Source organism: Homo sapiens, chromosome 1, assembly GCF_000001405.40.
Source record: "Homo sapiens chromosome 1, GRCh38.p14 Primary Assembly".
NCBI classification, from domain to species: Eukaryota; Metazoa; Chordata; class Mammalia; order Primates; family Hominidae; genus Homo; species Homo sapiens.
The window spans coordinates 31,331,197-31,354,674 of record NC_000001.11 but is presented as its reverse complement, the minus strand read 5'-3'; the positions used below and the strand labels follow the sequence as shown (position 1 = coordinate 31,354,674).

Below are 23,478 nucleotides of genomic sequence, written 5' to 3'. Positions count from 1 at the left end.
ATACTCAATATATTCAGCAAAAAGAACTCAACCAAAGATCCACAGAAGTGAGATATCCATATACCCTCTTTAGGAATGTAACAAGTACCATTTACCTCTAAAAGGTTAAAAGAGAAAGAATAATGCTTGGAACATACAAATAGAATCACAGTTAAAAATCTAGATCTGGCTTGAGCCCAGGACGTCAAGGCAGCAGTGAGCCACGATCATGTGACTGTACTCCAGCCTGGGTGATACAGCAAGACTCTGCCTCAAAAGAAAAAAAAAACTAAATCTGCAAGAAAATTATTTCTGTTTACAGATGGCATGATCTTCTATGTAGAAAACCCTAAAGAGTCCACAAAAAAATCCTGTTAGAACGAGTAAGTGAATTTAGCAAAGTTGCAGAATACAAAACGAACATGCTAAAATCAGTTGTGTTTCTATACAGTAGCAAGGAGCAATCAGAAAAAAAATTAAGAAAACAATTCACACAGTAGCATCAAAAAGAAAAAAATACTTAGGAAGAAACTTAACCAAGGAGATGAAAGACATGTATACAGAAAATTACAAAATGTTGCTGAAATTAAAGAAGATACAAATAGATATCCAATTTTCATGGATTGGAAGATTTAATACAGTTGAAATGTCCATACTATCCAAAGCAATCTACAGATTAAATGCAATCTCTATCAGAATTTGCAAAAATATAAAAATCTATCTTAAAATTCATATGAAATCTTTCAAAGGACCCCAAATAGCCCAAACAATCTTGAAAAAGAACAAAGCTGGAGGATCCACAATTCCCAACTTCAAAGCTTACTAAAAAGCTACAGTAGTCAAAACAGTGTGGTACTGACATAAAGACATATAGACCAGTGATAGAATAAATCCTCACTTATTTGGTCAAATGATTTTCAACAGGGGCCAAGACCATTCAGTGGGGAAAAGGACAGTCTTTTCAACCTATGGTGTTTTAAAAACTAGAGATCTACATGCAAAGAAATTTTGGACCCTTTCTGTACACCATATACAAAAATAAACTCAAAATGGATCAAAGACCTAAACGTAAGAGCTAAAGCTACAAAACTCTTAGAAAAATATAAGGGAAAAGCTTCATGACATTGGATTTGGCAATGATTTCTTGAGTATGACATTAAAAGCATCAGCAATAAGAGAAAAAAAGGTAAGTTTAACTTAACCAAGATTAAAATTTTTTTGTGCAATGAATACTATCATGAACATACTCAACATTACTGAACTGTACACTTAAAAATAGTTAAGATGGTAAATGTTATATGTTCTTTACCACTATTTTAAAAAGTCTAAATCTGATAGGGAAAAAAGGGACACTATCAACAGAGTAAAAAAACAATCCACAGATTAGAAGAAAGTATTTGCAAACCATATATCTGATGGGATTGATATCCAGAACATATAAAAAATTCCTACATATCAACAACAACAACAAAATAAACAAGCTTATGCAAAATAGGCAAAGAACTTAAATAGCCATTTCTCCAAAGAAAATATACATATGGCCAATAAGCACATGAAAAGATATTCAATATCACTAATCATTAGGGAAATGCAAATCAAAACCACAATGAGATGTCACTTTACACGCATTAGGATGGCTACTCTCCAAAAAACACAAAACCCAGAAAATAAGTGTTGGCAAGGATGTAGTGACACTTGAACCCTTGTGCATTATTGATGGGAACGTACAATGGGAAACAGAGTGCTTCCTCAAAATATTAAAAACAGAATATATGATCCAGCAATTCTACTATTAGGTATATACCAAAAAGAAAGAAGAGTGGGGTCTCAGAGATATTTATACATCCATGTTCACAGCAGCATTATTTACAATAGCCAGAATATGGAAGCAGCCCAAGTGTTCACCAAAAATAAATGGATAAGCAAAATGTGGTATATACATAAAATGGGGCTCGATGTGGTGGCTCATGCCTGTAATCCCAGCACTTTAGGAGGCCAAGGTGGGAAGACTGCTTGAGGCCAGGAGTTCAAGATCAGCCTGAGCAACATAGCAGGACTCCATCTCTACAAAAACTAAATTAGCTGGGTGTGGTGGCACACTCCTGGATCACTTGAGCCCAGGAGGTTGAGGCTGCAGTGAGACATAATTGTGCCACTGCACTCCAGCCCGGGCAACAGCACAAGACCCTGCTTCAAAAAATAAATACATAGAACAGAATATTATTTGGGCTTAAAAAGGAAGAAAATTCTAACATATGCTATGATGCAGATGAACTTTAAGGACATTATGCTAAGTGAAATAAGCCAGTCACAAAAACAAATACCACATGGTTTCAAGACAGAAAGTAGAACAGTGGTTGCAAGTGCAGGGAGGAAGGGTGAATGGGGGGCGTTATTGTTTAATGAGTATAGAGAGTTCTCGAGATCAAAGACAGTGATGGTTGTACAACAATATGAATGTATTTAATGCCAATGAACAGTACACTTCTATAATGGTAAATTTTATGTTATGTGTATTTTACCATAAAAACAAACAAAAAACACTATACAAAAAGGCTGCAGATTTTGGCTTATCAAATGGGTCAATGAGTTCCAATCACTGAGACAGGGCCAAATGTGGAAAGAACAGCTTTGGCTAGGAAAATTAAGTTTTGGAGGTATGTTAAACTTGATGCTAACTAGACAACCAGATGTAGACGTCAAGTAGGCAGTCTATTAACTAAATTTGGAGTTCCAGAGAAAAAGTCAAGAATAGCAATGCAGATTTGGATAAAATACAGACACAAGCACTTAATTTGGGGGTTATGAGTATAGGGATGATATTTAAAACCATAGGACAGGATGAGATTCCCTTGGAACACTCCAACATTCAGAGTTAAAGCATAGGGTGAGAAATCAACAATGAACAGAAGTGGGCAGTGACATAAAGTAGGTGGTTTTGTTGTTGTTGTTTTGAGGCAGGGTCTCGCTCTGTTGCCCGGACAGGAGCGCAGTGGCATAATCACAGCTCACTGCTGCCTTGACCCCTGGGCCCAAGAGATCCTCCCACCTCAGCCTCCTGAGTAGCTGAGACCACAGTCCGTGCCCCACCATGCCCAGCTAATTTTCTCTATGTTTTATAGAGACAGGGTCTCCCTATGTTGCTTAGGTTGGTCTCAAACTCCTGGACTTGGGCTATCCTCCAGCCTCAGCTGGGATTACAGGCATGAGCCACCATGCCCAGCCAAAAAAGGTGCTTTAAAAAAAAAAAAAATGCCCAGACCTAGGCCCTGTAAACATGGTACCTAAGAGGTAGAGGGCAAATATGTATTTTTTAAAACTCCCTAGGCCACAGCGTTCAATAGTCTGACTGTAAGAGAAGTGAGGGGATAAACTGTACAGTAGCAGTGGGAATGGGAATGGGATAAACAATTTTGAGATATGCACTTAAAAGGCACCACTGCCAGGACTTGGTGACTGACTAGATGTGGGATGGAAAAGGAGAGGAAAATAAATGACATTGGTTTCTTTCTTGGGAGACTGGGAGAGTATTGCTGACATTAATAGGTAATAATATATGATAGAAAGGTAGAAACAAGGGTTTTGGTGGTACTGGTGATGGTGGTAGTGTGTGTGTGTATGTTTAGGAAGGAGGACTAAAAAAGATAATTAGGGCTGTCATAACAGCCAACTCTAATTAGGAACTTACTTGTCAGTGCTTTATATCTTATTTTTGGGAGTCAGGCATCCCTCTGCAAGAACATTGTCATCAAAGATCACAACAATCCCACTTCGAAAATGAAAAAACGGAAGTTTGCCAGGCGCGGAGGCTCACGCCTGTAATCCCAACACTTTGGGAGGCGAAGGCAGGCGGATCACTTGAGGTCAGGAGTTTGAGACCACCCTGGCCAACATGGTGAAACCCTGTCTCTACTAAAAAAATACAAAAATTAGCCGGGCATGGTGGCTTGCGCCTGTAGTCCCAGCTACTCAGGAGGCTGAGGCAGGAGAATTGCTGGAACCTGGGAGGCGGAAGCTGCAATGAGCCGAGATCACACCACTGCACTCCAGCTTGGGAGACAGAATGACACTCCATCTCAAAAAACAAAAAGAAAATCAAAAATAAAGCCCCAAATTAACAGCTAGTAAATAGCACAGAAGAGCCTCAAGTCTGGATTTGACTGACTCCAGCCAAAGTTTGAGGTACCCATGGCATCCTAGTTAAGAATGTGGAAGTCAATAATGCAGCTAAAGTCTCAGGAGGGATAGGATCACCGAGAAAGAGAATATATAGATTGGGAAATTATTATTCATATACTTGGCTAATTCTTGTAATGGTATAGAGAACTTTTCCTCACCCAGAAAATTAAGATAATACTTAATCTATAGATAATAACCACTGAGGGCAAGGACCTCATCAGTTTTTGTATTCCTAGAGTTACAATGCCTGGTACAAAATGACCCCTCAACAAAAGTTTGCCAAAGATTTAAAAACGAAACAAAAGTCAATATACTGGCCATAGTTAGAAAAATCCTACACGATAGAAGAAATATTTCCTGATCAACCTACAGAATAGTTTTTATTGTCTGTGTAGCATGCTACAAATGCACTGTTTCTTTCTGGACCACAATAATATCTGTTTTATGAATTGCTCTGCCATAAATAGTAGATATAGGAGATGGAATTCAGTGAGACAGGTGCTCTGATACACTGCTAGGGACAGATAAGTATTTTCTGGAAGGCAATTTGATAAAATGTATCAAGAGCGTTAAAGCCCTAACTCAGTAATCTTACTTAGGAATTTATCCAAGAAAACAATAAGAGATGTGGCCAAAAATTTAGGTTGGAAGTAATAAAAAATATCCAGTAATACAAAAATAATTAAATATATCATCATACAGCCATAGGGTAGAATATTATGTTGCTCTTAAATCAAGTTTTTGAACACTTAAGGATACTAGGAAATGCTTTTGATAAGTGAAATGAAAAAAAGGTATAAACTATAGCTAGTATGACCACAATTTTGTATTTACATGTATGTGTAGCTATATATATCTGTATTTATTATTACCTAGAAAAAAGTGGACGGGTGTCGTGGCTCATGCCTGTAATCCCAGCACTTTCAGAGGCCGAGGTGGGTAGATCACTTGAGGCCAGGAGTTTGAGATCAGCCTGGCCCACAAGGCAAAACCCCCCATCTCTACTAAAAATACAAAAATTAGCCGGGCATGGTGGCGCATGCCTGTAGTTCCAGCTACTCAGTTGGCTGAGGCATGAGAATCGCTTGAACCTGGGAGGCAGAGGTTACACTGAGCCAAGATCATACCACTGCAAGAGACCCTGTCTCAAAAAAAGAAAAAAGATTAGAATATACCACAAAATGCCAATAAGAGTCTCTTTGGGTAGAAAGGTTACAGAAGATCTTGGTTTGCTTCATTATGTTTTTCAGTATTTCTAAAATTTCTGCAAAAAGCACATTTTCATTTTTCTTTTTTTTTTAACAAAAAAAATTTCTTTTTAGAGATTGGGTCTCACTATGTTGTTCAGAGTGGAATGCAGTGGCTATTCACAGGCATAATCATAGCGCACCGCAGCCTTAAACTTCTGGCCTCGAGCAATCCTCCCACCTTATCCTCCCAAGTAGCTGGGACTACAGGTGTGTACTGCTGCATGAGGCTTTTCAGATTTTCATCTTAAAACTTGAAAAAGACATGATAAAATAAAAGCAAAGTAGCATTCACCTTCTTTCTTTTTCTAGAAGGATTCCTTGTAGGGTCAGGCTTCTCAAACTCTGCTGACTTTGCCTCTTCCTTTTCCTCTTCCTCATCAGGTATCAGAGAGTATTTAGTCCCACCTGGTTGCATGAAACAATCTTTTGCAAAGTGGCCTGCAGAAGAAAAGTAGAAAAGGTATAGAAAAAGGAAGTAGTCTCTCTTCTCAGCAAGTGAATCTTTCCCCAAGTCTCCTGAAATGGGCTAGCTGGCTCAGGAAATATTGTTGAGTTCATTCAAAGCAGCTGTTTGATTCAGGGTAGATTTTCTACCACCTCAACATGACACTGCTCACTCAACCACAGCCAGACTAGCAGCTGGTCTCAGGGCTGTGGGGAACACTGGTACTGTTCTCGAAATGGCAAAGGATATGAGGATGCAGGTTTTTACTGCCCTCCATTAACAATGGGGCTTATTAATTTTTTAAGATCTATTTTGGAACATATTCCTGACAATCAAAGACTGCTCCAGAGAGCAGGATGTTTAGCAGAAGGAGCTGAGTGGCAGGCCAAGCCCTAAAGGAATATAGCTTGTAGGTAGCTGGTAGCAAGTGGGCACTCACATCTAAGCTAACACACAGAGAAATAGGCACAGTCACCTAGGGGCACTGAACATTTACAGACTGTCAGGTCTGGCAAGCACCTTGGAAATCATTAAATCCATCCTACATTTGTAGAAGATGAAAGCCCAGATTTGAGAAGTAGCTCAAGGTCATATAGACAGAAGCAGAGTTCAAACTTATCCTGGGTCTCATGCCTCCCTGCCCTGTGCTTTCTGCTGCACCAAAACCAACTACCTTTGACCTGACCTTTACTAACTGGGACAAATTCCACCTCTCATTATTCTTCTCTTCTTTATGTAATGCCTGTTGGACACGGTTAAGGTTAAAAGACCCCCACCTTCACTGAGCCTATAGTGGTACTGAGGGGCCCTTTAACAGATGCTATGCTCTACACTGCTAGTTGTGTCTGAGTTTGTGGTAGATCCTGTCTTAGGGGCACAGAGGAATTGTATGAGATAATCAAAAAGCTATGTGTGGGCTGGGCACAGTGGCTTATGCCTATAATCTCAGTACTTTGGGAGGCTGAGGCAGGAGGATCACTGGAGCCCAGGGAGACCAGCCTGGGCAACACAGGGAAACCCCGTCTCTACAAAAAATTTTTAAAAATTAGCTGGACATGGTGGTACACACCTGTGGTCCCAGCTACTCAGGAGGCTGAGGTAGGATTGCTTGAGCCCAGGAGGTCAAAGATGCAGTGAGCCATGATCATAACACTACACTCCAGCCTGGGTGACCCTACCTTAAAAACAACAAAAAAAGCTATCTGTAAAGTACTCTGTACCTCTGGGTCCAACAGCTGGGTGGCACCTGGCAGGGAAATATAGCAGAGTTTTCCAAATACCTGGAATGTTCCCACAGTTTTCCTGAGGAGGTATTCTTTCTCTCAATTTTATTTTTTCCTTCTCCCCTCTATGCTAATGATAAATAGGGGCTTAAAACCCCACAACTTCAACCAGGGCACAAATCTGCTACCAGTTATTGTAGAAAAATCACACAGTAGGGTAGACGGAAGACTAGGGAGAAGGGGTGACAATTGAGGTCAACCTGAAAATGAGAAGCTGGCAATCTCTCTCATTATAGCTCCAACTAGGGATCAGGCTGAAAGACCTTTTAAAATTTGAGTAAGAGTAGAGGAAACCTGAGGAAATAGAGCTAAAAAGAAGTGACTATCCTGTATTCTTTATTCAATATCCTGTAAAAAGATATTGTATTCAGAACTCTGACATTAAAGAGATAAAGATGAGAGTCTGACTTGGATCTTTAAGTTATATATGTCTAAGTTGCTTAATTTTTGCAGAATCATCATCCTTGGAGATAAAATTAGAGTGTTAATCATAATCCAACACTCTTACTCCTCCTGGCATAGTTCATGGGGGTCTTGCCCAGACAAGGCATATGCTGTGGGTGGGGTGGGAGGAGTGGTGGTAGTGGTATAGTATCTGGTAGGGCCAGCACTCAGAAAAGAAAACAGAAAATGTATCACCCCATGAACTCTGATGTGAGTCTGGTGGAAAAAACAGCAAAGGCCATCACTTGGCTAAAAAACAGGGTAAACTAAACTCACACTGGGCTGCCTCCTTCTTCCAGAAAAGGGTCCATCCACAAGGAGAGAAACGTGGAAAGGGCAGAGGCTTCACCCTACCTTTACAGCCACACTTCTTGCAGGTAGTGTTCAAGACAGCCTCAAGGGTGATCTTCTGCCCAGTGTAATCCTGGAAGGATCGCCTCCGCCTCTCTTCTTGCCTATAATGAAAAAGATACCGACTGCCGGCCCCCTTAAGAGATATGGCCAGAGATACTACAAGGTAAGGTTGTATGTTGGTTTTTTGTTTTTGGCAGGGAAAGGGGAGAAAGAAAGAAAGTTTTTGACAGAACGAGACAGGCAGTAAATGCAATGATGTGAAATAGCCCTAAATTAACAATTACGAATGAGACTAACCTTCATCTCACTAATGCACAGAGGATGAAAATATATAATTACTCAACATGCTAAACACCCTACAACCCTTACCAGGTCACTCATAGGTTTAAAAGACCTTCAAAGGCTTTCTAGAAAATCAGCTCCAAATTCTTTACCTTGGCATTCAAGGTCTTTCACAGTTTGTCTCTAAACTACTTTTCCAGCCTCATCTTTACTCACACAATATGCTCTGGCCAAAGAAGTCTATTTTCTCTTATCCATGTGGCTCAGTGCTTTTGCTCAGGCAGTTCTCCCCCTCTCTGAAATGCTCTGTTTCCCCACTTGACTCTCACCTCACCACTTCACTATACCTAGACATTTCATGGCTCAGTTCAGTTACTAGCTCTCCTTCTATCAAGTCTTTTCCTCTGAGCCCCTCAGACAGAATTAATCTCTTTGTTGCATTTCTCATAGCCTTTTAAAACATTTTTAGACTTCTTACCAAAATATAATATATATGTTGATGTGATTTGGCTCTGTGTTCCCCCACACACAAAAATCTCATGTTACATTGTAATTCCCAGTGTTGGGGGAGGGACCTTGTGGGAGGTGATTGGATAATGGGGTCGGATTTCCCCCATGTGATAGTGAGGGAGTTCTCATGAGATCTGATGGTTTAAAAGTGTGTGGCACTTTCCCCTTTGCTCTCTCTCTCTTTCTCTCCTGCCGCCATATGAAGATATGCTTGCTTCCCCTTCACCCTTCAGCCATGACTGTAAGTTTCCTGAGGCCTCCCCAGCCATGCCTCCTATACAGGCAGTGGAACTATAAGTCAATTAAACCTCTTTTCTTTATAAATTACCCAGTCTCAGGTAGTTCTTATAGCAGTGTGAGAACTAATATATATATATATATTATATTATATATATATATATAAATGTCTGTCATAAGTATACAGCTCACTTGATTTTTCATAATTTGAACATACCAAAGTAACCAGTACTCAGATCAAAAAACAGAACATTAAGGCTGGGTGTGGTGGCTTATGCCTGTAATCCCAGCACTTTGGGAGGCCAAGGCGGGTGGATCATAAGGTCAGGAGATCGAGACCATCCTGGCTAACAAGGTGAAACCCTGTCTCTACTAAAAATACAAAAAATTAGCCGGGCGAGGTGGCGGGCGCCTGTAGTCCCAGCAACTTGGGAGGCTGAGGCAGGAGAATGGCATGAACCTGGGAAGCAGAGCTTGCAGTGAGCCGAGATTGCGCCACTGCACTCCAGCCTGGGCGACAGAGCGAGACTCTGTCTCAAAACAAACAAACAAACAAACAAACAGAACATTGCCAGCATCTCAGAAGCCCATCTCATGCTCCCTTCTAGTTACCTGCCTCCCCCAAGGGTAATCACAATTCTAATTTCTAACAGTACAGATTCCTTTTACTTAAAAAAAAAAAAAAAATAGCCAGGCATGGTGGCTTGTGTTTGTAGTCCCAGCAACTCGAGAGGCTGAGGCAGGAGGATCACTTAAGCCTGCAAGATTGAGGTTGCAGTGAGCGGACTGCACCACTGTACTCCAGCCTGGGTGACAGAGCAAGACCCTGTCTCCAAAACAAACAAACAACAAAAAAAAACCCATAACAAAGGCAGAAACTTGAGGACATAACTCAAGGAACTCACAAACATGGTTTTTGCTTTCACCTATCTATTTGTAGAGATGAGTTTCAAGTGGCTGTGAGTTGCAGCTTAAGCAACCCCCATGACAATCAATTCCAATACTCTGTGGCTTCTACCAGACTACAAACCAAATCATACTTCCCACTTAACACTCAATTCAACAAATGTGTCAGTCACCCACGTCTCTCTTTTTGTCCTCATTGCCATCATTCTAGTTTAGGCTCCCATCATGTTTCATCTAGAGTAATAACTCCCTCACTGGTCTCCCTGCCTCCAGTTTTCTTCCTCCAATCCATCCCAGCACAGATTCTGAGATTAATCTCATTTTTTCAGTACAGCTAGTAAGTGGATAACGCCAGTGCTAATACTAGTGATAGTAATAATTATGTATACCAAAACGAACAAAACATGATTCTTTTCTGGAAAGAACTAATAGTCTGGCAATGGAGGGAGACATACAAATGAAAAATTTTAACAGAGTTAAGTCATATGTGCTTTTTCTAAAGACTACCCTATGGACCAGCAGTTGTGGCTCACACCTATAATCTCTCAGCACTTTGGAAGGCCAAGGTGGGAGTATCACTTGAGACCAGGAGTTCAAGATCAGCCTGGGCAACACAGCAAGACGTCATCTCTACAAAAAATTTAAAAATTAGGCCAGGCATGGTGGCTCACATCTGTAATCCTAGCACTTTGGGAGGCCGAGACAGGAAGATCACCCGAAGTTAGGAGTTCAAGACCAACCTGACCAACATGGAGAAACCCCGTCTCTACTAAAAAAACAAAAATTAGCCGAGCATAGTGGTACATGCCTGTAATCCCAGCTACTCGGGAGGCTGAGGCAGGAGAATTGCTTGAACCCAGGAGGTGGAGGTTGCAGTGAGCCGAGATCGTGCCACTGCCTCCAGCCTGGGCAACAAGAGTGAAACTCTTGTCTCAAAAAAAAAAAAAAAAAAAAAAAAATTAGTGGGGCATGCTGGCATGGACCTATAGTCTTGGCTACTTGGGAGGCTGAAGGAGGAGGATCACTTGAGCCTAGGAATTTGAGGTTGTAGTGAGCTATGATCACTACACTCCAGCCTGGGAGACAAAGACCCTGTCTCAAAAAAAAAAAAAAAAAATTATATACTACACTCAATTCTGATCTTGATCATAATAAAAAAGAAAAAGACTGTACTTTGCAGGCTATGCCTAATTGGAAACTGCTTTTAGCCCCTTTCCATTTACAGAGTCACTTATTAGATTATCTCATTAACACTTTGGGACCTGAGGGGATGAATATAAGAGTTAGATTTTTATGGAAAATGAAAGGTGGCTAACAAACTATGGATGGCTGAAGACAGGATGAGAATACTGAGCATAACAGGGCAAGGCCAGACAATGGGATTCCTGGGGAGGTTAATCTGACGAGAAGCCTCTCTGTCCAAAGGCTTTTTTAAAAAAATTCATGGGCTGGGTGTGATGGCTCACGCCTGTAATCCCAGCACTTTGGGAGGCCAAGGCAGGCGGATTACTTGAGGCCAGGAGTTCAAGACCAGCCTGGCCAACATGGTGAAACCCCGTCTCTACTAAAAATACAAAAATTAGCCGGGCGCAGTGGTGGGCACCTGTAATCCCAGCTACTCAGGAGGCTGAGGCAGGAGAATTGCTTGAACCTGGGAGGCAGAGATCATGCCACTGTACTCCAGCCTGGGTAACAGAGCAAGAGTCCATCTCAAAAAATAAATAAATAAAAATTCATATTCTTTAACTGATATTCATGGCTCTCCACAATCTGACCCTAAATTATCTTTCAAGCCTTCCATTCTAGTACTTGACCATATCCTCTTCTTTCCTTAAACAAGGTTCCCAAATGTACTATGTGCTTTTCTGCCTCATTCCTTTCCTCAAACCATTTCTTTTGCCTGAAATACCATTCCTTCCCCTGCTGTCTGACAAGATCTTATCTGTTCTTCAAAACCTAACTCAAATACCACCTATTCTCTGACCATCAAGGCCTGAAGTAAACTATTCCTCCTCAAGTGAATTCCTAGAACCCTTTCTTTAAACAGGGAGTCCCTAACCCCCAGGCCACAGACTGCTACTGGTCCATGGCCTGTTAGGAACCAAGCTGCATAGCAGGAGGTGAGCAGCAGGTGAAGGAGCATTACCACCTGAGCTCCGCCTCCTATCAGATCAGCAGCAGCATTAGATTCTCATAGGAGTGCAAACCCTATTGTGACCTGCACATGTGAGGGATCTAGGTTGCGCACCCCCTATGAGAATTTAATGCCTGATGATCTAAGGTGGAACGGTTTCATCCCAAAACCATTCCAGCCCCCTATCCATGGAAAAATTGGTCTTCCACAAAAGTAGTCCTTGGTGACAAAAAGGTCGGGGACAACTGCTTTAAACTACTCTTTTAGTATTTATTACAAGTTGCCTTATATTTGTTGAACAAATGAGTAAATGAAAGTACTAACTAGGGCTGAGCGGTAGTGGCTCATGCCTGTAATCCCAGCACTTTGGGAGGCTGAGGCGGGGGATCACTTGAGGTCAGGAGTTTGACACCTGCCTGGTCAACATGGTGAAACCCCGTCTCTACTAAAAATACAAAAATTAGCCAGGCATGGTGGACTATGCCTGTAATCCCAGCTACTCGGGAGGCTGAGGAATGAGAATTGCTTGAACCCAGGAGGCAGAGTTGCAGTGAGCCACGATTGTACCACTACACTCCAGCCTGGGTAACAGAGTGAGACTCCATCTCAAAAAAACTAAATGAATACTATGGATGCTATACATCAGGCACAATGGCAGACAAGTCATGGTCTCTGTTTTTGTGGGTCTTACACACACACTCTTTCAAAAGCAAAGGTGTGGTTCCGTACACCATAGTATGAGGAAAAAAGAAAAGGTGCTATAATCTCAGATATTAGAGGATAAAACAAAGCGGCATTTAAAACAATAACTACAAGTAGCTACATGTATGTCTACCATAGACTAGACATGAAGCTGGCTCCTTACAAATAAGATTTTACTTAAATCACTCAAGCATTCCTTAGATATATGTTACTGTCTCCTTTTATAGTAAAGAAGCTAAGATTCAGATAGACTAATTAATCTGCTCAAAGTCATATATTAGTTTGGAGCAGAACCAGTACTCTTTCTGATTCAAGTCTAGCTCTAAATCCTCTAATCATTCCATTATGCCATGCTTCCTTCCTGGATGCAGCTATAGACATAATTTACAACAAAAGTTACTGTTTCAGCCACTTGATTATTACTAAAAATAGTTCTACACAGAGACAGCCCAAAACCAGGGAGCCCTTTCCCTTCCCTACCCATTTTCTGAGAAACAGGGTTAGCTCTTTTATCTTACATGTTTTATATTTTATCACTGTAAGGGTGGCTTTGGGAAATTTCACTATTTTTTAATGAGTCCATATAGCATTGGATTTTTTGGAGCAGAAGCTATTTATTACAATGCAATCATCAGAATTTTTTCTTTTTCCTTTTCCCAACACTAACTTGAACCACAGCCAGATTTAAACACTTCTGCACTCTGAGTTATAAAAGATTCCTACTATTACTGACAGTATTTTGTCAATAATCAGCCTTACAAACATGTTAATATTTAGAGACTAAACCACAGAAATATGAAAAGTTCTGTAAGTCACATGCAAGAGTGAGAAGCATTTTGTGGTGAAAAGGGCATTAGCTTTAAGGTCAGAGAGACTGAGTTTTGAGTCCCTGATAATTTTCTATGTAACCACAGGTAAGTTACTTATCACCAGGCACCAAGCTATAAAGTAGGAATATAAGGTAAAATGGAGATAACATCCACTTTGCAGGTTGTTATGTACCCAAGAATGTACATAAAATGCCTGGCACTGCAGTATGTATTCAATAACATTTCCCTTACTTCCAGATAAAATTCCTTCAAATTCAAAGTGATTTTGCTCAGAACTATAAACATAAGGCTTTCCAAACTTTTCACCAATAAGATCCCACTCAAATAACATTCTATCATTTTTCTTGTCTTTTAAATTCATCAATGACATAATTGTCATTGAGCGTACCTAATTAACATAAGACAAACAATGTGATATTTTATCATCAAAAGCAACAAAATAACAGCATGGTTAACCTGAGGACACACATAGAATTTTGGATGGCTTTCTAAAACACTAAAAACAGTTAATAAACCCTCCAAGGGCCGGGCGCGGTGGCTCGCGCCTGTAATCCCAGCACTTTGGGAGGCCGAGACGGGCAGATCACCTGAGGTCGGGAGTTCAAGACCAGCCCGACCAACATAGAGAAACCCCATCTCTACTAAAAATACAAAATTAGCCGGGCATGGTGGCACATGCCTGTAATCCCAGCTACTGTGGAGGCTGAGGCAGGAGAATCACTTGAACCTGGGAGGCGGAGGTTGCGGTGAGCCGAGATTGTGCCATTGCACTCCGGCCTGGGCAACAAGAGTGAAACTTGTCTCAAAAAAAAAAAAAAAAAAAACCCTCCAAGATCCCCCTTTAAGAGACTTTAGGGATCCAAGAACCTCCGATGAGAAATTTAAGAAAGAAGCCTGGGCATGGTGGCTAACAATTGTAATCCCAGCACTTAGGAGACCAAGGTGGGAGGATCGCTTGAGCCTAGGTGTCCAAGAACAACCTGGGCAACATAGGGAGACCCTGTCTCTACAAAATAAAAATTAGGTGTGGTGGCGCATGCCTGTAGTCCCAGCTACTCGGTAGGCTGAGGTGGGAGGATAGCTTGGGCTTGGGAGGTCAAGACTGCAGTAAGCCGTGATTATGGCACTGCACTCCAACCTGGGCGACCCCATCTCAAAAAAAAAAAAAAAAAAAAAAAAGAAATCCAAGAAAGACTTGAGACAGACAGAACATTCCTTGTATTGCCAGACATTGTCCTACATAGATAATTTCCCATTCCTAAATGAAAGGTCAGAAGAGCCAACGAAAGTAAGATGTTGTTTTCAGAGCACAGTGTATCCCAAGATGTGGGAGTCTAAACCCCGCTGGAGTTGTTCCTGGATTACTCTACCCTTCCACGTGGTCTCTATGTGGAAGAGACCCACGTAACCCCACCTGCAGAAATCACTGGGAGAGAGGTAAAGAATAGTTCTTCATGAATGCTTATTAGCTAACTCGTTAAAGGGCAGAAACAGAAAGAGATTAAGGGAAAGGAAACAAAACCATTGATGGAGCACTCCAATGCCAGGAGCTTGGTACGTTAACGTTTCATCTTAGAACTCTATGCAGCAAGGTGTTAACTATTTTTATTTTATTACTTTATTTTATTTTTTGAGACCGAGTCTCACTCTGTCATCCAGGCTGGAGTGCAGTGGCATGATCTCAGCTCACTGCAACCTCTGCCTCCTGGGTTCAAGAGACTCTAGTGCATGACTCAGTCTCCCGAGTAGCTGGGACTAGAGGCACGCACTACCACATCCAGCAAATTTCTAGTTTTGTATTTTTAGTAGAGACGGGGTTTCGCCATGTTGGCCAGGCTGGTCTCAAACTCCTGACCTCTTAGGTGATCCGCCCACCTCGGCTTCCCAAAGTGTTGGGATTACAGGCGTGAGCCACCACGCCTGGTCTAACTTCATTTTACATTTCTAAAAACCAAAGATTGCAAAGGTTACGTAACTTATCAATATCACAAAGTCCATAAATGGTAGAGTTACCAGTTCAGTCTGATTTACTAAACCATTTTATGATTTGGGAGGCAGAAGAATTTTCACCTTTCCAAACCTTTTACTTACTCAATGATAACATTGTTGGGATCAAGGTCTTTCCCAGTCCCTTGATTGACAACCTTCATGGAGAGGGATACTTTTATTCTATCATTTTTCATCTGAAAGAGACCAAAAAAAGTCACCAAAAACTTTAAATACATCATTTAGATGGCCAGTCTAAAATTAAGAGTCAACGTTTTCATCATAACATTGAGCTTCTTTAATGGACCAGGTACTGTGCTAGGAACATTGCAGATACAAATAAGCATAACAGGTAGACCCTGTGGCAGAAGAATTTTAGGAAACAGTCTTAATCTCATTCTTGTCCCTCTGAGGGAAAGACAAAAATGGTAGCTCAAAAAATCCATGGCTTGTGGAAGTAACCAGGCAGAAAATAAAAGTTTTTCTTCCAGGTAAGTTCAGCATAGTGATTTGTTGAGATATCCCTAAGTCCAGAATAGGTTTTTGAATACTTCAAGAGACTAGATCTCCTTCTGGACTTGGTCTAGAGCTTCTTTAAGCATGAAGACATTTGTCACATTGGTCTTCTTTTGCTTCCCGCAGCACATGAAGCACTTCTTCACTTCAGGGTCTTTGCATCAGTTATTCTCTCTGCCTGGAATGTTCCTATCCCAAGTCTTCCATGACTAGTTCCTTTTCTTTAAGGTCTCAGCTCATATTCTATCTCCTCAAAGAGTCCTTTCCTGACAACTAGAAATCTTCTTCCAATAGTGTTTGAACCCAATATAGCACTTAATATAACTTGCAATTATTTTATGTATATTTGTCTTGGTCAGGCATGGAAATTCATGCCTGTAATTCCAGCACTTGGGGAGGCAAAGGCAGGAGGATCACTTGAGCCCAGGAGTTTGAACCAGCCTGGGTAGTAACACAGTGAGACCCCATCTTGACAAAAAAATTAAAAAAAAAAAAAAAAAAAAGGCCAGGTTTAGTGGTGCGTGCCTGTAGTCCCAGATACTCAGGAGGCTGAGGTGGCAAGATCAGTTGAGCCCAGGAGGCTGAGGTTGCAGTGAGCCGTGATGGCACCACTGTACTCCAGCCTGGGTGACAAAGAGAGACCCTGTCTCAAAAAAGAAAGAAAAATTGTCTCTACTTATATTCTATATTAACTCCATAATAGCTGGGATCATTTTTGTCTGGTTCGCTCTTATATCTCCCAAACCTAGCACATATTAAGCACTTAAATATTGTTGAATAATAGTTCTTTCATGCCTATCTCCTGTGCTGTCTCTGGTAGAACAGGACTCAGTGTATGCTCTTATTTCTCCTGTGGTCGGCCCACACCCACAGCCCTCATACCCTCAAGTGAGTAACAGGGTCCTTCAGATTTTTTTCACTTTCTGCACATTGCATGGTGCCAGATATTAGGGAAAATGACTGTAAACTATCTGTGTTCTTTTTGTTTTGTCCCAAACTGAAGTGTATCTGGCAGGTATTCTTTGAAGTCTGTGATAAACACTTGTCCCATAGGTCAACTTTCCTTCTCTCTTTTTGGTTCTTTTTTCTCTCCTCCGGCCCACCCTATGGGTAAACTTCAGGGAGGGAAGTTTTACAAACGTGCACTTATTGCACCACACTTTTATAGCTCATATCATTCCTTCTGAGTTTGCAGGACAGTCTACCAGAAGGTTTGAATTCAGAATAGATTCTAATGGCAGGATTTAAAAATAAGATTATCAGCACAATTAACAAAATTTACACACTCACTATCATAAAATATCAAAAATCCCAGCTCTTCCTAATCCTTTCTAACCACAAGGGAGCCGCACAGAACTTTACCTCTCGGCCAATAAGCTTCACCCACACTTTATCTCCAACATCTACTATCTCAGAGGGCTTATCCACCCGACAGGATGACATATGAGTTCGATGGACCAGACCTGGGCACAAGAAGAAGAAATAACGTAAAGCAGAGGGCATATCTGGTATTTATACTCTAAACTGGATAAGAAGGTAAGAGTTGGGGAATGCAAGGGAAAAATGAAAATTTTTACTGAAAAGCGTGAAACTTAAAACTGCAAATTGAGACTGCTTTTTATACCCAATCAACCAACAAACATTCTTAAAATAATGCTCAAAGTGGCCGGGCACAGTGGCTCATGCCTGTAATCCCAGAACTTTGGAAGGCTGAGGCGGGCAGATTGCCTGAGCTCAGGAGTTCAAGACCAGCCTGGGAAACATGCCAAAACCCAGTCTCTACAAAAAATACAAAAAAAAAAAAACCTGGCCAGGCATGGTGGCACGTGTCTGTAGCTCTAGCTACTTAGGAGGCTGAGATGGGAGGATCGCATGAGCCCAGGAGGCTGAAACTGCAGTGAGCTGCAACTGCACCACTGCACTCCAGCCCAGGTGACAGAGTGAGACCTTGGTTCAAAAAAATAAGTAAATAAAATAGGCCAGGCACAGTGGCTCACGCCTGTAATCCCAACACTTTGCAAGGCCAAGATGGGAGAATACCTTGAGGCAAGGAGTTTGAGACCAGCCTGGTCAACATAACGAGACCCCATCTCTATTTTTTAAATATTGTAAATCTTATTTTAAAAATAAAAAACAAAAAATTTAAAAAATGTAATGCTCCATATTAGTAAAGATGTGATAAAATATCTGTAGTTACACAATACTGATAGAAATATAAGTTGGTAAAATTATTTGAAAGCAAAAAGATAAAGATGTTTATCTTTGATGCAAGAATATCATCAATAGAATTTTTTCAAAGGAAAAACTCACAAGAGCCAAAAAACTTACAGAGCTGAAATAACTTGCAGTCTAGCCTGGGCAACATGATAAAACCCCATCTCTACCAAAAATACAAAAATTACCTGGGCGTGGTGGTGCAAACCTGTGATCCCAGCTACTCAAGAGGCTGAGGTGGGAGCACTGCTTGAGCCCAGGAGGCAGAGGTTGGAGTGAGCTGAGATTGCGCCACTGCACTCCAGCCTGGGTGACAGAGCAAGACCCCCATCTCACAAATAAATAAATACATACATACATACATAAATACATAAATAACTTGCGGTATTATTACCTACAGAGGTTAAAAAATATATAAGAACCATAAAACAACCCTAATGAACAATAACTGGAAAACAGCATGGCAAACATAGTAAATCTGTGGAATAAAAAAGTAAACAGCCATTTAAATTAATTACAAAAAATATTTATGATAGACGTTAAGTTAAAAAAGGAAATATAAACAAGCTACTATTTTTAATCCATTAAATTAGCAAAGTATTTAGAAAATAATATTCAATGTGGTGAAAGGATAGTAAAATAAGAACTATTACTAAGGCTAGAATAAACTTTTGGAAGTCACTATCAATGGCTATCAAGAATGATAAAATACTAATAAACTATTACACATTTAATAAAAATAATTTAAAATGAAATAATTGCTGGGCATGGAAGCTCAGGCCTGTAATCCCAGCACTTTGGGAGGACTGCTTGAGCCCAGGTATTCAAGACTAGCCTGGGCAATACAGTGAGACCCCATCTCTAGAAAAATTACAGAAAAATTAATAGGATGTGGTGGTGCATGCTTGTAGTCCTAGATACTCAGGAGGCTGAGGTGGGAGGATGGCTTGAGCCCAGGAAGTCAAGGCTACAGTAAGCTGTGATGGCACCACTGCACTCCAGCCTAGGTGACAGAGCGAGACTTTGTCTCAAAAATAAATCAAATAATATTTTAATAACATTTAATAAAACACTTATAGCAAACATCCTTTTCCTGTCTGTCCAAAATCCTTTCCTTGGGAGAACCACCTTGCTTATTACATTTTACATATACAAATCAGGATTGTAAACTACAAAAAATTGCCAAAGCCAATCTTTACCACCAGATGGCAAGAGTCTGCCAGAGAAAAGCAAAGAAGAGCACTGGTAAACAAGAAGCAAAGCCCTGGGAGTATAAACTGAGCACCCAATACAGCAAAGGCTGAAGTCCCAGCAATAGAGGAAAGAGACAAGGGGCAGAAACATAACTGAGAAACATAACTGAGAGTTATCCTGGAAGCCCCTGACAAGATTGGCCAAAATGTTTCCCAATTAAGTTTCTGCCCCTTGCAACCAAGAGTTCTAATACTTTATTTGACCCCTAATTGCTTCTGGGAACCTGTCCTAAGAAAATAACTTTATACATAGGAAAAACTATATGCTTCAGGAAAAGTGATTTACATCAAAATATTCAATGTATTTTTAAGACAGGAAAATTTAGAAACAACAAAGGATAACAATTAGGTCAATTATGGTATAGTCGCTTGATGGTCCATTCAAAAGATTTTTAAACAAGTCAATAATTCCTTCTTTAGTAAATAGTTATTGAGTGCCTATTATGTATCAAGTACTGTAGGTATCTAGCATTTTCCCATACTAAATAACAAAAGCATAATGCAAAATTATACAGTATGATTACAAATGCTTTAAAAACATTTTAAAAATTAGAAAGAAATGACTTGAAATGCCAACAGTGGTTATAGTATTACAAGTTAACCTTTTCATTTATTTTCGATAATAAATAATAATAGAGGATTACTTCAATTCTGGAGAAAATGAACATAAATAATTACTCTGAATGAATAAAAATCAGTCATCCTGTCTAAAATAACTGCCCTCCCTGAAGTTGCTTGGGAAATTTATCCACCTCTATTCTCATTCTCCCACTCTCTCTTTCACACACACACACACACACACACACACACACACACACACACACACACACACAGAGAGAGAGAGAGAGAGAGAGAGAGAGAGAGAGATGCACATGGATGCCTGCAGATGCCTGAAACTCAAAATACCTGCCCTTTCTGTTTAGAGCTCCTACTGGGAGCCACTACTTTCTCTATCCATCATCACTACATCCCACATACCTACATAAGCTGATTCTGGAGGTTGATAGCCTACCTATCTAAACAACTCTGGGGCCTCTAAAATGTTTTATATACATTATGTTTTTAATTTTAGATCAACACACAATCTCCAAATTTGGTGAAATTCATGCAAATGGGGTTTATTTTTTTCCCCTATGATGTAATGAGCCAACTAGCCTAATTTTAAAGTTTGAAGAGGAAATTCAGATCCCATAAAGGGGAAGCCCTTCATCTTGACTTGTTTTTGGCTGCAACTGTCCTCTACTGGTTAAAATTCATCTCTTTCCTCTATTGCTAATGAAAGTTATGATGGAAATTAATGTTGAACCTAATATACTTGAGGGAACACTATTCTTCTTCCCTAAAACAGAAAGTCTATTTACTGGAGTACCACATAGAAATAATGGCATCAAAACTTGTCCTTCTCTCACCTGATTCCATATAACCAGTGAAAAAATGACAAAAGATTTCAAATGAACTTTTTTTGTCTTTAAGTAGCTTAAGCAAGTTAATTTGAAATATTTTGCTCTTTTACGCTATAAATGTATTTATTTTATGCTACAACTGAATTTCCATGGGTCTTTAGAGTATATCTAAGAGTCAGTGAGAGTAAACTATATATATACACACACATACACACACACATATGTATTTTATTTTTTATTTTTTTGAGATGGAGTCTCACTCTGTCACCCAGGCTGGAGTGCAGTGGCACAATCTCTGCTCACTGCAACCTCCACCTCCTGGGTTCAAGTGATTCTCCTGCCTCAGCCTCCCGAGTAGCTGCGATTACAGGTGCCTGCCACCACGCCCGGCTAATTTTTTGTATTTTTAGTAGAGACAGGGTTTCACTATGTTGGCCAGGCTGGTCTTGAACTCCTGATCTCTTGATCCACCCGCCCTGGCCTCCCAAAGTGCTGGGATTACAGGTGTGAGCCACTGCACCCGGCATTTTTTTAAATTCTATTTTATTATTTTATTGTACTTATTTTATTTTATTTTTGGTACAGGTAGCTCTCTCCTGGATAAACATGACCAGTCTAGAAGCGTTAGCAGTGAAAAACTGGAAACAACTTAAAATGATTATGTGGTACATCTGAATGACAGAATAAAGCCATTAAATGTTTATAGAAAATATTTTTTTAATGGGGAAATGTTTAAGGTCCATTACGTGCAAAAAACTACACATTTTAAATATACAGTATAATCTTAATCTCAACATATTAAATTGTGTACACATATGTGAATATACAGAAATACACCAAAATGTTGGCCAAGCGCGGTGGCTCATGCTTGTGATCCCAGCACCTTCGGAGGCTGAGCCGGGTGGATCACTTGAGGTCAGGAGTTCAAGACCAGCCTGGCCAACATGGTGAAACTCCATCTCTACTAAAAATACAAAAATTAGCCAGGTGTGGTGGCAGGCACCTGTAGTCTCAGCTACTTGGGAAGCTAAGGCAGGAGAATTGCCTGAACCCAGGATCATGCCACTACACTCCAGCCTGGTGACAAAGCAAGACTCCATCTCAAAAAAAAAAGAAATACACCAAAATGTTAACAGTGCCTATCTCTGTATGGTAGTAATAGCACATAATGATCATTTTCCATTGTGTGTTTTTCCCTCTATTTTTCTATGATGAGCATGCATTATTTCCAATCATAAAAATTTATATATTTTTATAATTAAATAATATATACACTATGAAATAATGTGAAACTATGCCTCATATGGACATAGACCAAAAGGAAACATAAAAATAGTTATAACGGGGTACAGGATTATTAAAGTTGAGACATTAATGGCTTATTACCAAAAGGCCTTAGCTTATGCAGTGAATTAAACAAAAGACACAGTCTAGCCCTCGCCCTCGATCTTGAATGCAAATGTCAGGTAGGCAGTTGCATATCCAAGTCTGTAGCTCAGGGGAAGGGTATGAACTGTAGATATAAGTGCAGGAGTCTTTAGCATGCAGATGCTTATATACTAAAATACATTAACCAGACTGTCAGTTTAGTGACTGGTTCAGAGAGAGACACACACCAGTTTATTAATTTACAATACAAGATATACTTTCCTTATACCTGGAAGGTTCTCAGTCCTCATCTAGGTAAACTAGCTGCTGCCTTCAGATTAAATACCTGAACAATTACATTAGTGATCATTAGTGATCAGAAATTGCTTCCACATGGAATCAGAACAAAAGGGAGACAACTATTTTGAGATACTTTTTTTGTCCATGAAGGTTTAGTGTACTATCACTTCCTCATAAAAAAATCCATCTCGGCCGGGCATGGTGGCTTACGCTTGTAATCCCAGCACTTTGGGAGGCTGAGGCAGGCGGATCAGGAGGTCAAGAGATCGAGAGCATCCTGCCCAACATGGTGAAACCCCATCTCTACTAAAAATACAAAAATTAGTTGGGCATGGTGGCGCACACCTGTAGTCCCAGCTATTCGGGAGGCTAAGGCAGGAGAATTGCCTGAACCTGGGAGGCAGAGGTTGCAGTGACCCGAGATCGAGCCATTGCATTCCAGCCCGGCAACAGAGCGAGACTCCATCTCAAAGAAAAAAAAAAAATCCATCTCTACAGTTCCTATCATTAGATTCATTTCTGCCATAAATAAGGCAAGATAAACTCTGCCAACTTCAAGCACTCAGCCTGTCTTTTACTATGTTTACCATGTTTTAAGCTGACAACCCCCTGCTTGTTCCCATAATCTCTCCCTCGGTAGAATATTATGATACAGGACGGGCACGCTGGCTCACGCCTGTAATCCCAGCACTTTGGGAGGCTGAGGTGGGCGGATCACTTGAAGTCAGGAGTTCTAGACCAGCCTGACCAACATGGTGAAACCCCGTCTCTACTAAAAAAAAAATACAAAAATTAGCCAGGCATGGTGGCACTTGCCTGTAGTCCCAACTACTAGGGAGGCTGAGGCACAGGAATCACTTGAACCGGAGATGGAGGTTGCAGTGAGCTGATAATCATGCAAAT

The 23,478-nt window shown here is 40.5% G+C and overlaps 1 protein-coding gene across 11 annotated transcripts in view, besides 1 other annotated feature; it reads right to left on the bottom strand.

Moving 5' to 3' along the window:
- Positions 1-23,478, bottom strand: part of ZCCHC17 (zinc finger CCHC-type containing 17) — a 67,905-nt gene that overhangs the window by 10,262 nt on the left and 34,165 nt on the right. For 6 of the 11 annotated variants that reach the window (NM_001282568.2, NM_001282566.2, XM_047422508.1 and 3 more), the window contains 4 exons: positions 17,400-17,500; positions 15,627-15,718; positions 7,935-8,035; positions 5,701-5,846 (listed from right to left, as the gene is read on the bottom strand). In NM_001282568.2, coding sequence (NP_001269497.1) covers positions 5,701-5,846; positions 7,935-8,035; positions 15,627-15,718; positions 17,400-17,500 — 440 coding nt within the window. Of the gene's footprint in view, positions 1-5,700; positions 5,847-7,856; positions 8,036-15,626; positions 15,719-17,399; positions 17,501-23,478 lie in introns of all 11 variants that reach the window. The other 5 variants (NM_001282573.2, NM_001282572.2, NM_001282567.2 and 2 more) reach the window with 4 other exon arrangements.
- Positions 1,479-1,773: a silencer, noted in NCBI's record as "tiled region #7682; HepG2 Repressive non-DNase unmatched - State 16:ElonW, and K562 Repressive non-DNase unmatched - State 16:ElonW". NCBI's record gives its function as "represses a minimal TATA promoter and a strong SV40 promoter by Sharpr-MPRA in HepG2 and K562 cells {active_cell/tissue: HepG2 | K562}" and the evidence as "EXISTENCE:reporter gene assay evidence [ECO:0000049][PMID:27701403]".